This window comes from Homo sapiens, chromosome 3, assembly GCF_000001405.40.
Source record: "Homo sapiens chromosome 3, GRCh38.p14 Primary Assembly".
NCBI lineage: Eukaryota > Metazoa > Chordata > Mammalia > Primates > Hominidae > Homo > Homo sapiens.
This window is the reverse complement of record NC_000003.12, coordinates 113,887,703-113,902,449: the sequence shown is the minus strand read 5'-3', so window position 1 is coordinate 113,902,449 and position 14,747 is coordinate 113,887,703. Positions and strand designations below refer to the sequence as shown.

The window sequence follows — 14,747 nt, the reverse complement described above, 5'->3', positions numbered from 1 at the left end:
AGATCCAGATCCTGTTTACCATAATCCAAGGCTCTTTGCATTAGAGTAACTGCTTTTCTATCCAAATCCAGAGCCGGCAAGAGGCTACTAAACTTCTCAAGGAGAACAATACAATGGAAATTTTTAACTTTACAGAAAGCTAATAAAATATACATGTGCAACCATGTAAAAAAGCCTATAAAATACTGATGCTAAGCTGAAAAGATATAAATTGGATCAGCATAAGTAGATTACCTAGATGAGTAAAATTTCTGCACATACTTTGAGACTTTCAAAATATTTCCATTTTAAGATTTGCTATAGAATTTCTAAATAACAGCTTTTAAGATATAATCCACACACCACAAAATTCACTTCATGTAAAGTGTACAATTTAGTGGGTTACAGAGTTGGGCAACCATCACCACTAACTAATTGTAGAACATTGTCATCACCCCAACAAAGAAATGCTTTGCAGTCACTTGCAGTCACTCCCCATTCTCCCTTCCTATCAGCTCCTGGCAACTACCATTTACTTTCTGTCTCTATAAACTTACCAGTTCTAGACTCCATTTCACATACATGGAATCATACAATATATGGCCTTTTGTGACTGGCTTTTTTCACTCAGCATAATGTTTGCTATAGAATTTTAATGTATTCTCCTTAATTGTTTTTATTGCTAACAGCCTCAATTTCCACTGGACATAATGCACTTTTACTTGTAGAGGTTAATAAAAATGTCCACTCTTCTAAATGAATCCTCATCAGTCAAAAATAGTCTCTCTGTACTCTTAATTTCTTTATCACATTATCTGTTACTCTGTTATGACTCTTACCATTATCGACCTTGTATTACAATTATTTGCATTCCACGGTAGGCTATATGCTCCTTCCATTAATGTATTCAATATTTATGGAGTGCCAACCACATGCTAAGCACTATGTTAGGGAATTCCTGAGGAAAAATCATGTTATTGTATCCTTCAAAACACCTACCATATAATTTACTTTACTGTCATCTATAAACTCAGAGATTTCACTAGGTACTTCTCCAGATCCTTAATAAACAGGCTTACTAAAACCAGACTTTAAGTCTACCCTAAGTGACATAGCCAACATTTCCTTATATATCTCATATGTGCTTACCTATTTAGCAAACTATTCTCTGTCCCCACCTTTCACCCCATTCCACCACAAAGAACAAAGGGGCAAATGGCAGCCAAAGATAAATTACTAGAAATTCAGAATTAGTCGAATGTAAAATAATTCTGCTTTGATTAATAATTGATAAATTTTGACATTTCAAAACATTTTGCTGTACCTTGGCTGCACATCCTCAATCGACAGTGACAAGTTTTCCATCTCCTCAGCATTTAAACCTAGCTCAGTGCCATAGTTCTGCTGGAGCAGTTGCCAGAATTCCTGTCTAGTCAGGCTCTAAAGTGACAGAAAAATTACACTGAGCATTGGAAAATATAAAATATAATATCACAGTGATTCAAAACATGAGTTTTGAAGTCAAAAATGACCTGTTGTGCAAAGACTAGATATGGGGCTTTGGTAGTTATTTGACCTTTCTGTACCTCCATTTTGCATATCTATAAAAATGAGTTAATAAAAGCTATCTGGCAGAGTTCATAAAAGGAATAGATAAAATGATTTTAAAGTACATATTATAATAACTACTGAAAATGGGAGGTTAAAAATGTTTTAAATTTTCTTTCTGTAAAATAATTTGTTCAGGCCAGGCACAGTGACTCACGCCTGTAATCCCAGCACTTTGGGAGGCTGAGGCAGGCAGATCACGAGGTCAAGAGATCGAGACCATCCTGGCCAACATGGTGAAACCTGGTCTCCACTAAAAAAAAAAAATACAAAAATTGGCTGGGCATGGTGGCGCACACCTATAGTCCCAGCTATTCAGGAGGCTGAGGCAGGAGAATCGATTGAACCCAGGGGGCGGAGGTTGCAGTGAGCCAAGATTGTGCCACTGCACTCCAGCCTGGGTGACAGAGCGAGACTCCATCTCAAAATAATAATAATAATAATAATAATAATTTGTTCATACTTTCTGGTAATTACTGATCTGCAGTTTGTTTGCTTGTTTTTGAGATGGAGTCTCACTGTGCCACCCAGGCTGGAGTGCAGTGGTGCAATCTCAGCTCACTGCAACCTTCACCTCCCAGGTTCAAGCGATTCTCCTACCTCAGCCTCCCGAGTGGCTGGGATTGCAGGTGTGCACCACCACACCCAGCTAATTTTTGTATTTTTAGTAGAGATGGGGTTTCACCATGTTGGCCAGGCTGGTCTGGAACTCCTGACCTCAAGTGATCCACCCTCCTCAGCCTCCCAAAATGCTGATATTATAGGCGTGAGACATGGTGCCTAGCCTCTGATCTTCAGTTTAGTTCTGCAATCTAACCAGTCTACCATGACCACTGAATCACCGTTCAGCCCTGTCAGCTTAGAACCTGTCCTCTTAATCCATAATGTATCTGAATATTTTAACCACTTTAAAAATCTTATATATCAATAAATTTTAAACTATATTTTCCTAATATATAAAATGCAAGAGTCTGGACTTCAGAATTTTTCCTTTGATTTATCTTTAATAAAGTCCAGCTTGTTCTTTCTTTGTAGGCAGAAATTAACAAATTTTTAAATCATCAAATACAACAAACTCACACATTACCTAGCAAAACAAAAACAGTATTATTATGATTTAGGATAATGGCCTCCAGTTGAAAAATAAAATTAAATAACAATATTATGATAACCAATGGTCTGATGTCTAAAAACATTACAGATAGTTAATTACCTGCTTAAGCAAGGTGTAAGGAAGTAGCATAACACTTGAAGCAATTGTTAGTAAGATAATCTCTCTCATTCATTCAACAGATATTTATTTAGTACCTAACAAATGTGCGTTACTGCACTAGATGCTAAGGAGAATAAACATAAAAACATAATGTAGAAGTTAAGCTCCTGGCCCTCAAACAACTTTTAATATAGTTGAAGAGACATGGGATGTTCTTAAGTTATATGACAAGATATAATATGATCATGCACTAAAGTACTGGTACAGTCAACATGATATGAAAGTCTAAAGGAAGGAAATAGGACTGTGGATTAGTGTGATCAGATAAAGCTTCACATTGGAGAAGTGTTTTCAGCTGAGATAAAGGAAGAATATGGGGAAATGGAGAAATGGGAAAAGTTGAAGAGACGGAAACCAACTAAAAATACAGAATAAATACATGAACATAAGTAACATTTGTTTTGAAGTCAGTAGTCTATCAGCCTAACTGAAATAAAAATTTTAAGTTGCGAAATAGTAGAGATAAATATAGACTTGATGGGGCCACAACACAGATGCCTTGAATTCCTCCCCAGGGTTCCCTACAATAAATACCACTTCCTTTTTCTTCCTCCTTTTTTCTTCTCTGTCTAGTAACTATGGCATCTTTGTTTGTTATGTTATACTAGATGACCTTCATTACATTTCATGGACCTTCAAAGATATTAAGAACAAAATGTCTGCACTTTAGACCACTAGTTCCCAATCTACTGTGCCCAGATTACCAGGATTCCACAAGAGCAGATGATGAAAATTCAGATATTATCATCAGATATTATCAGATAATATTTCAAAAAGTCAAAAATATCCAATTATCTAAAATAAAGCTATTCAAGTTAAGTGAAATGGCAAGCCTCTGTTTCGAGCTGAACTATATTAACCTACAATGGATAACACAGGCTAATAAATTCTCACTGGAAATAATATATATCTAACAAGTAGTGATGTTTTAATATTTATTATTTAATGTATACCCCTTATTTGGTAGACAAAGTCTTTGGAAGCACAGTGTCCATAGAAAAAAACATAAAAAGGACCATTAGTGGTAGAGAAAATTAAGAAACCACTGTCCTTGATATTAAAGGAACATACACGTTTATTTTCTGACTTCCACTCCAAATGAGTCATTTGTTGTGAACTTTTTTTCACAATAATAACTCACACTACTAATTAACTCATTCTTCCAAAGAAATTATCTTTGAAATATTTTAGTGTCTTACTAGGATGGTTAACTTTATAATGAGAAGCAAGCAATATTTCAATATACTTGTGTAAGACTAATCTTTTATAAAAACTTTTCTTAAATAATAGATATCAAACGATTACAAAGGCAGACTAAAGCAAAAAGATAAACCAATGATGAATACTCAGGCAGCTTCCTAACAGCAAAAGAAATGAAACTTATTAGTAAAATACTAACAACAAAAATGTAATTTTATTTGACTACATAAATGTTTTGAATATTGTATTAAATACTAGCAGGAAGTTAATAGCAGGGTAATCACAATATACTTTTCAAGCTAGTAATTTAATATATATAACAGGTTAATGGAAAATAAAATATAACTCATGTAATTCACCATCTTGTAGATTTGCCAATTTGTTAAAAATGACGTTTTCTATAAAGTTGTCCAGTTTTCATAAAAATGTGGTTATTTACAGCCATGTTGAACATTCAAACATTCAAACATATGCCCAGCCTGATATTCATAATTCTTTCAATAATCAGCAGCAAAAATAATCTACCTTAGTAGTCTTCAAAACAACCTAAATTTTAAACACAAGCTGACCACCCACCTGCAAACCAAGGAGAGTCTCTCCCTTTCAGCCTACAGAGTAGTTTAACAAAATAAAGATGAACCAAGCAGTAATCAGATAAGGCTCAAAAGTCAGAAGATCAATTTCTGGCCCAGAAAGCTGTGTATTCTAAGTATGTTGCCATCTCTATGCACAGCAGAGCTCCAAATATTTAATGACAACTATGTAAAAATAATCACTGCTTCAATCTCTCAGTTTTGCTATGAGAAGCTTTTCTAATGTAGTTTAAAGCACATTATCTGTCACTTCCTGGTTGTAGTACCAGCACTCTTTCCAAGGTTGCAGGTCAGAATGCAGAATTGGAAGTTATACCTCACTCTACAGGTTCCTAAGCCACTCCTACAAGAAGAAGATAGGTAAACAGGTTTTATTAAAGGGACAGTTCCTAATTTTCTCTGTTCTACGCACAGATTAGAAAAAACAAAATGAAAGTAAAAACATCTTGCTTATGCTAAATTGATATAAAACAGCTACTGCAATATTATTTTAATCTCATCTTTAAAATTAACTATATTACAGGTTAATTTTTCTTCTCCATGCTAGTAATTTCTATGCAATTCTGGGAATGTCATGATTACCTCTTCATATACTACTTCTCTAGTACTGACGTAGTATTCCTATCAGACTCTTGCATTAATCCTTTACAACAACCAAAGATTCTATCTCTGAGTGCTGTAAATGTAACGTAAGGAAATAGCAGGAAGAGCCAGCTGTTCAGGTGGAATAATTCTACTAAGCACCCGGCACATCTCTCATCACTGAAAGGTTTAAGGCAACATTTTGATTACTCAATAATTCTTTTCTTTGAAAATATTTCTGACTTTGGTGTATTTAGAATAATTCCCTGGCAGTGATCTGGACTATAATAGACAGTACAGTTTCATCTACTAATTCCTATTTATTTCTCAGAAGAAAATTTTTCTTCTAAATAAAGAAGCAAAATTTGCCCTAATTTCTACCTAGTCATTCCATTTAATTTAGTGATGTGTGTAAACAAATCAAAGGCTACTTGATGAACTCCACGGATCAACCTTTTGAGGGATGCTAAAATCTCATCATTTTATACAATGGCAGAATGAGATAGAGTAGAGTGATGCTGAAAATACTACTCATTCAAATGAAGAAAGCCCACTGTGGGGGCAGCTTCCGCTGTCTAAAAGGCAGTGCTTTTAGCATATTATGGTAGTTCTCATTGACTGAAATTGTAACTAAATATATTTACGATGGTGAACAAATAGCTATGAGAAAATATACATTAACTGTACCACAACTGATATTTATACACATTTTTGCTAAATATAAAAATCCTTATACCAAACCACTGCTATGTAGGGCAGAGCTAAATTTAGTAGGCTTCAGAGGGAAAAACAGAACCTAAAACTGAACCCCAAGAAAGCCCAACACACAAAGAGAAAATAGAGGAGTGGCCAGCAAAAAAAGATTCAGGGAAATACCAGAAAGGTAAGAGAAGATTCCAGAAAGAATGTCATGAAAGGCAAGGGAAGAAAGTATTTCAAAATAGAGGGAGTATACAGTGGTATCTAACGCTGCCGAAAGGTCAAGTAAGATGAGCACAGGATGAGCACATGTATGTCAAATGCAAGCATCCAGAGGAATGATGCAGCTTGCCAAACCAGTTCCCCATCACTTGAGCATGTGTGTGTCATGAGAGTGAGGCAGGGAGAGGAGATACAGTGGGGAAGGAGGAAGCAGCCAGGTCATGAAGAGCCTTGTATGCCATGCCAAAGAATATGGACTTTACATTGTCGAAATATCAAAAGCCACCCAGTGGTTTCATATAGAAAAGTAACAAGTTCAGAATTATGATTTTAAAAGACATGATTTTAAAACACTACTATTTGACATCAACCTCAAAGACAGATCAGGTGTTAAAAAGAGATAAGAAGACATTGGTAATGGTTCAAGCTAGAAATGATGATGACCTTGGTGACCAACTAGACACGGCTGGCTGGCAAAGAGGCAAGAAAAAGGATACATCTAGGTTTCTGGCTTGGGTGACTGGGTAGAAGGCGGTGTAGCTCACTGACCAAGGGAAAATAGATAGAGGAGTTCTGACAATCAAGAAGGTAAAAAAGAGGGAATTATATAATACAAACACTTCTATACTGCCATGCTATTACATAGCAAACGTGACAAATAGTTACCAATTTCATATTCATTTTTTTTCCAGGTAGGTCTGAATGTTGCATTTATTAGATTGATAGCACTACTGGAAAACTTTTGGAATTCCAGTAACTCCAAAATAAAAGAACAAGGGGATTTGATAATGTTGCGCAGGCTAAAGGAGAAAGCTGGATGACACTCCTCCAAAAGGTCTCAGTGGCTGACATAGGCTTTGTAAACTGACCACTATTTAGAGAAAAGCCTCAGAGCTGTCACTATCCTAGAGTTGGCTCAGGGAGGCCAACTTATATAAGCCACACTCACGAGCTGATACTAGCTCAGTTGGAAATACACTAATGCACGGTGGGGAAGATTCCTTTCTGGTGATCAGAAATCTTTTCTTCTATCGCCCAGAACACCTGAATACCTTGGAAGTCAGATTAGCAATCAGAAAGTGGCACAACAAGCATGGAATCAGAGCAAAAGTAGACAGCTTTAAGGGACAATTTACTGTGACCTTGGTGGGGCATGATGATTCATCTCTGTCCCATCTCCATATGGTTCTCTATTGATCAAAGTCTGCCTCTGCAACTCTACTTTTCTGTCCTAAGTCCTAAGTTCTTGGCCTACGTCTGACCAAGTCCTCTTCAGACCGATATATTCTTTCTTTTTATACACTAATACTTTCAATCAACTGTTTTAAACCCTTTTTCCCCAACACACCTGAGGAATAGGACACCCTTCTGTCAACCTTCTACTTAGTGATTCCCAAAATAGAAGCTAGAGTAACATGTATCAGAATTTAGACAGCGTATATCTGTATACATTTAAAAAGCTCCCCTCATTACTTTACCCCTGAATCTAACATATGCTATCTTCTTCTGCCATTTGGGAATAAGATGAAAAGACATTCTGTCTCTTTAAGCCTTAAAATTCAAAATAAGTACAGATTTCTGCTCTATTAGACCCTGGATTGAAATATTCACTTTCAGAATATACTCTTAAATTTCCAAGGAGAGCTAGCTTCCCCATAGCCCCCATGTGCTGGCAAGAGAGACCACTATTACCTTGCTAAGATAAAAACAGTACAGGCCGGGCGTGGTGGCTCACGTCTGTAATCCCAGCACTTTGGGGGGCCAAGGCAGGCAGATCACCTGAGGTCAGGCGTTCGAGACCAGCCTGGCCAACATGGTGAAACCCCGCCTCTATGAAAAATACAAAAATTAGCTGGGTGTGGTGGCAAGCACCTGTAATCCCAGCTACTCAGGAGGCTGAGGCAGGAGAATCGCTTGAACCTAGGAGGCGGAGGTTGCAGTGAGCCGAGATCATGCCATTGCACTCCAGCCTGGGCAACAGAGCAAGACTCCATTTCAAAAAAAAAACAACAGTACAAAAGTAAATTTTCTGCATACATCCTGCCTATATTATAATATCTGTAATCCTAAATGCAATAATACAAGAATATCAGTAGGAATATGAAATAATTGATTGAGCCTCAATTTTAAAAATCTTTTAAATTTTAACCCTTGTTACTACTGATAACCTTACATACGAACCCTATTTTCTTAGTAATTCAAGTATATAGAAAATAACATTTCTTTGGCAACTGAGGATGCTTTAGTGTTTCAAGATAATCATTTGTTCTCACCGTACATATTGAAGGTTAAAGAAATTGAATTAAATATACATTGAACTTAGGGTGTGCCCTGAATGCTGTTTCTGAAATATTTCAGAAATGTCTGTGTTTTCCCCCATCCTTTGCCTTTTCCTTGAACTAAGAGAATTTATAATATCTTGTTAACAGTAGTAATTATTTGGACTCCAAATCATTGAAGTTCTACTAAATTGAGTCATTCAAAAAGTATTTATTGATCATCTGTTACACGTAATGTATAATTTATTGTCCAAACTGGCACACTTTTGAGAGTAAGGGAAGCGCAATATTTACTTTGACAAAGGCCTAAACCCAGACAGTTTCAGACCGTACTTGGTAAACCAAACTGTATACCAAACCAGCTATGTGGTAAAGACTGAACTTGTCAGTGGACATACAACAGTGAACAAGACAGACATGGTCCTTGTCTTCAAGGGATTTATAGTTAAGCAAGGAGAACAGAAATAGACCATAGAATTGTAACTGTAATGCATATTATAGAAATACAAAATGTTATAGAAAACTAAAAGAAAGAACCTGACTTCAGGTTTATTAATGAGAACTAGAGTGGGAATAAGAGGGTCACAACTTCCTGGCAGAAAGAATATTTGAAGACTTAATAAAAAAAAAAAAGCAGAACATTTAAGATGACAAGAATGAGAGGGTATATTAAGATGTGGGTGGAGAGGTGGGAAGGGTCTTGATTATGTGGTCCCTACAGAGATTTTTAGGTTTTTATTCCAAGGGCAATGGGTATTAAGCAGGAAGCAAAAATAAGCAAGCATTTTTTTTTAAAAAAAGATAACTTTGGCTGTAGTACTGTTCAGGGTTCGACAAACTGTTTCTGTAAAGGGCCATATAGTAAATATTTTAGGCTTTTTGGGCCATATGGTCTCTGTCACAACTACTCAACTCTGCTGTTGTAGTGTGAAAGGCAGCCATAGAAATACATAAACAAATGAGCATGGCTGTGTTCCAATAAAACTTTATTTATGGACACTGAAATTTGAATTTCATATAATTGCCACATGTCATGAAATATTATTCTTTTGATTTTTTTCAGCCATTTAAAAATGTAAAACTAGTCATTGTGTGCAGACCATACAAAAACAAAGCAGGACTGTGCTTGGCTCTGGTATAGAACACGGATGGGGGCTGGCACAAATGAAAAAAAAGAGCTGAGGAGTGGAGTGGGAAGGGCCTAAAACTTATCTTGAACTATGACTGCACAGTTCTTTACAAAGACCAAGAAAACATCAATTGTTTGTATTAAAGAATGGTGCTGCCATTGTCCTCTGGCCCCACAAATCCCAGATATTCAATGCTCTGTCTAGAGAATGGGAGCTAAACTCACAGACTGTGAACTAAGCTGAAGCGCTATAAATTATGTCACGAATGATTGTAGTGACAGAGTGACAGTTTAAACTCACGTCTAAACATGGATGACTTATGTTTCACCAGGTCAAATATTAGAAATAAACTCTCCTTTCTGGAGCAATGTACCAAAGTAGTTTTTTATTTTTATTTTGTTTTGTTTTGTTTTGAGATGGAGTCTCACTCTGTCACCCAGGCTGGAGTGCAGTGGCACCATCTCAGCTCACTGCAACCTCCACCTCCCAGGTTCAAGCGATTCTCCTGCCTCAGCCTCCCGAGTAGCTGGGACTACAAGTGCCTGCCACCACGCGCAGCTGATTTTTGTATTTTTAGTAGAGACAGGGTTTCAACATGTTGGCCAGGCTGGTCTCAAACTCCTAACCTCAGGTGGTCAGCCCACCTCAGCCTCCCAAAGGGCTAGGATTACAGGCGTGAGCACTGCACCTGGCCCAAAGCAGTCTTATGAAGAGAAAAAGATGATTCTTTTAAAAACATTCTTTTTCAAAGGAAACATATTTGGCTCCAAGTCTTTCAGTCTTGTGGATTTATTTTACTGGAAAAATAAATAAAACAAATGCACACAAACATAATTTTACTATCATTTTATAGTACTTTAATGAAAAATCTACTTTCTAGATTAATTTGCTTTTTTAAAGGCCTTCTCATGCAAGAAGCAAGCAGAAGTAACACATACTTAGATTCCATAATTACATGCAACACAAATATAATATTCTGAACTTAATTTTTTTTTTTTGAGACAGTGTCTCACTCTGTCAACCAGGCTGGAGTGCAGTGGCACGGTCACAGCTCACTGCAGCCTCAGCCTCCTGGGCTCAAGTGATCCTCCTACCTCAGCCTTCTGTGTAGCTAGGACTATAGGCATGCACCACCACACCTAGCTAATTTTTTTTAACTTTTTTTTTTTTTTAGAAATGGGGTCTCTCTATGTTGCCCAGGCTGGTCTTGAACTGGTCTCAAGCAATCCTCCCACCTCAGCCTCCAGAAGTGCTGGGATTACAAGCATGAGTCACCATGCTTGGCCAAAAATATTTTTAATATATATCAAATGTATTATTCAAATTACTTATAAAGTTGTTTTAATAGAATTTTGTAGCTATGCTGTATATTTTATGAGGGTTTTTTATCTTTTTTTAAGAGTATTACACAAGATCAAGAAATTTAACCAATGTGGCTTTATGACTTTAAAAAACTAAAAGGGAAATGAGGCTTACAAAATTATAGATAATACCAAGACTATACCAAGCACCTAGCACTGTGCCTGGCACCTAATACTTCATAAATGGGAGTTGCTATCATTGTTATTATAGATATTTATACGTTAAAAATTGTTCTGGTTGAATTCTACAGTGCTTAAAATTCCATTTAGGATAGTTTTGAAACTGAGATCTCATCTTCAACTTTAAGTTCTGTACAGTAGTTTACACATAATATATGCTTAAACATTTTTGTCTTCTTGTGGAGCAGAAACAGACACCATTCTGTTTATTAAAATGAGAATATAGTGTCCACTTGAAACAGAGTTGCATATTCAACATTAAAGATAACCAAATGATCCAAAGATGTAAAAGGTATAACTACTGTGAAAATGGTGATACCTCCGTGTGTATACATCAGAAACACAGATAATATCAGGATCTTTTCAAAGAAGGGTAAATTTTACTTCCAGCCAGTAAATGCAGTGTTTCTTGGCTATGGTGGGTGGCCTCCAGTATTCTGGAATTCCCTTTCTTCTTCTCACTTCAGAGAGCTTTCTTCTTCATTAAAGTGAAGAACTTAGTTTCTCCCTTGGCTCATCTGTAAACCTGAACTTTATCACTTCCCTGGAGATATTTGTTTTTATAAGGACATATCCCAACTCACATGTGTGTGATAAGCACAAATGTGACATTGGAAGGACATTCAATACAGTATATAACCAAGCATAGTCTGCGATGTCGCTGGTGCCTTGCTAGAATGAGAGAATGCACCTCACGGATTCTGAGCACTCAACAAGTTAGTATTTGGGGTGGGGTAGCCAGGTCCCTATGGCAACACTGGAGTTTTCAGCCAGTGCTAGAATAGAGCACCCCACGGTAATGACAATGAATCTGAAAGTGACCGGCCTGCAGTGGGTGAAGGAGGCTTCCTTGCCAAAGTGCAACCTGGGAGGGCAGCATAGAGCTGAGTTGAGAGCAGCACACAGCTATGCATTGCTCCACGCCCTTGTAGTAGACGACATGCACTGCAGGACCTGCTGCCCGTGGACCTGCCCTGTGAGCATCACCCAGGCCAGGAGCAAGGGCATGTGGCTCTGGTGAAGCAGGGCATCCAAACACCCACAGACACTCAGCAGGGGCTTGGACTTGGGGCTTCCAAGCTAGTCACTTCTACTCCCTTACCATGGGTCAGAGAGACTGGGCTTGGCAAGCCCCCTCACCCACACCAGCTTTTCTCCTCTGTCCCTTCCCCATCTCAGACTTGTAGGCTACTTCTCCAAGGGTCCCCACTCCAGTAAAGTGAAAGCATTTGAGTTGGGCACTGCTTAGGAGAGCCTGTCCTCAGCGTTCAGTTCAAAAGGCCATTCAACATGAAGAGCTCTGGAGGCCAAAATGTGTCTGTCCACTTCAGGAAGGTGCTTAGCTGGGGAGTAGGGAGGAGAGGAGGCTAAGTTCCCACCTGCCAGCTTCAAAGAAAGAAACTTTCTTGTCTGGGTGGAGGCTCACACCAGTAATCCCAGTACTTTGGGAGGCCGAGGCAGGCAGATCACCTGAGGTCGGGAGTTCGAGACCAGCCTGACCAACATGGAGAAACCCTGTCTCTACTAAAAATACAAAATTAGCCAGGCTCAGTGGCGCATGCCTGTAATCCCAGCTACTCGGGAGGCTGAGGCAGGAGAATCACTTGAACCTAGGAGACAGAGGTTGCAGTGAGCCGAGATCGCCATTGCACTCTAGCCTGGGCAACAAGAGCAAAACTCCATCTCGAAAAAAAAAAAAAGAGGCTTTCTTATCTGCAGGAAATCTCTACTGTTCCCCTTAAACCATTTCTTTTAACAGCAGCTTTACTGTGCTATAATTCACATACCTGAAAATTCATCCCTCTAAGTGTACAATTCAGGCGGTTTTCACATATCCAAAGTTAAACAACCATCACCGCTAATTTCAGGACACGTTGTCAACCCAGAAAGATAACTGACTCCATCAGCTGTCACTTCTCATTACTCCCTCCTCCAGGCAATAACTTTACTATTTCTGTTTCTATGAACTTGCCTATTCTAAACATTTCATAAGAACAGAATCCTACAGGATGTGTTCTTTTATGACTGGCGTCTTTCACTTAGCATTATGTTTTCAAGGCTCATCCATGTTGTAGCATGTATCACTACTTCACTACATTTTATTACTGAATGATATTCCACTGTGTGGATATACGTTTTTTTTTAGAAGGAGTTTTGCTCTTACTGCCCAGGCTGGAGTGCAATAGCGCGATTTCGGCTCACTGCAACCTCTGCCTACCCGGTTCAAGTGATTCTCCTGCTTCAGCCTCCCGAGTAGCTGGGATTACAGGCATGTGCCACCACGCCCGGCTAATTTGTATTTTTAGTATAGATGGGGTTTCTTCCATATTGGTCAGGCTGGTCTCGAACTCCCGACCTCAGGTGACCTGTCCGCCTCAGCCTCCCAAAGTCTGGGATTACAGGCATGAGCCACCACACCAGGTCATACATTTTATTTATACATTAATCACTTGATGGACATTTGGATTGTTTCTACTTTTTGGCTATTATGAATAATAAATGCTGCTATGAACATTGGGGTACAAGTTTTTGCAAGAACAGATCTATGGTAAACATTTTGAGGAGCTGCCAAACTGTTTTTCAAAGTGGCTGCATCATTTTACAATCTTTCCAACAATGTACTTGAGGGATCCACTTTCTCCACATCCTCAACAGCATTTGTATTTAAAAAATTTTTTTTCAGCTTTACTGAAGTATAATTAACAAATAGGAATGGTACATATTTAAGGTATACAACTTGATGTTTTGATATGCATATACATTGTGGTCGCCACAATCAGGTTAATTAACATATCCATTGCCTCATGTAGTTATCATTTGCTTGCTTGCCTTCTTTCTTTTTTTGTACTGGTGAAAAAACTTAAGATCTACTCTATTAGCAAATTTCAAGTATACAACACAGTATTGTTAACTGTAGTCAGCATGGTGCACATTTGATCTCCAGTACTCATTCATCTTGCATAAATGAAACTTTGTATCCTTTAACCAACATCTCCCCATTTCTTCCTACCCCTGGCAACTACCACTTTACTCTCTGCTTTGAGTTCAACTTGTATAAATTCTACTTGATAATAGTATATACCTTTTCATACATTGCTGGATTTGATTTGCTAATATTTTGTTGAGGATTTTTGTGTCATTGTTCATAAGGGATACTGGTCCAGAGTTTTCTTGTGGTGATGTCTGGTTTTGGTATCAAGGTAATACTGTACTCATAGATAAAGTTGTGAAGTGTTCCCTCTATTTTTAGAATACTGGGTGAAGGATTGGTGTTAATTCTACTGTAAACAGTTGGTTCACCAATGAAGCCACCTGGGCCTGGGCTTTTCTCTGTGGTAGGTTCTTTATCATTAATTCAATCTCTTTTCTTGTTATAGGTCTATTCAAATTCTCTATTTCTACTTGAGTCAGTTTTTGTAGTTTGTGACTTTCTAAGTACTTATCCATTTCATTTAGGGTAAATAATTTGTTGGCATACAATTATTCATAATATTTCCTTATAATTTTCTTATTTTTATAAGGTTAGTAGTATTGTCACCACTTTCAGTCCTAAATTTTACAATTGTAGTCTTCTTTTTTTCTTGGTTGATCTAGCTAAAGGTTTGTCAATTTTCCTTTTTTTTTTTTTTTTTTTTGGAGAC

At 37.7% G+C, this 14,747-nt stretch overlaps 1 protein-coding gene across 6 annotated transcripts in view; it reads right to left on the bottom strand.

Annotated features, from left to right (window-relative positions):
* The window catches only part of GRAMD1C (GRAM domain containing 1C), a 118,983-nt gene that overhangs the window by 44,725 nt on the left and 59,511 nt on the right, over positions 1-14,747 (bottom strand). For 3 of the 6 annotated variants that reach the window (XM_011512930.2, NM_017577.5, XM_005247547.3), the window contains exon 7: positions 1,304-1,419. In XM_011512930.2, the coding sequence (XP_011511232.1) occupies positions 1,304-1,419 (116 nt within the window). Of the gene's footprint in view, positions 1-1,303; positions 1,420-4,636; positions 4,951-11,425; positions 11,796-14,747 lie in introns of those variants that run through there. The other 3 variants (XM_011512931.2, NM_001172105.2, XM_017006649.2) reach the window with 3 other exon arrangements.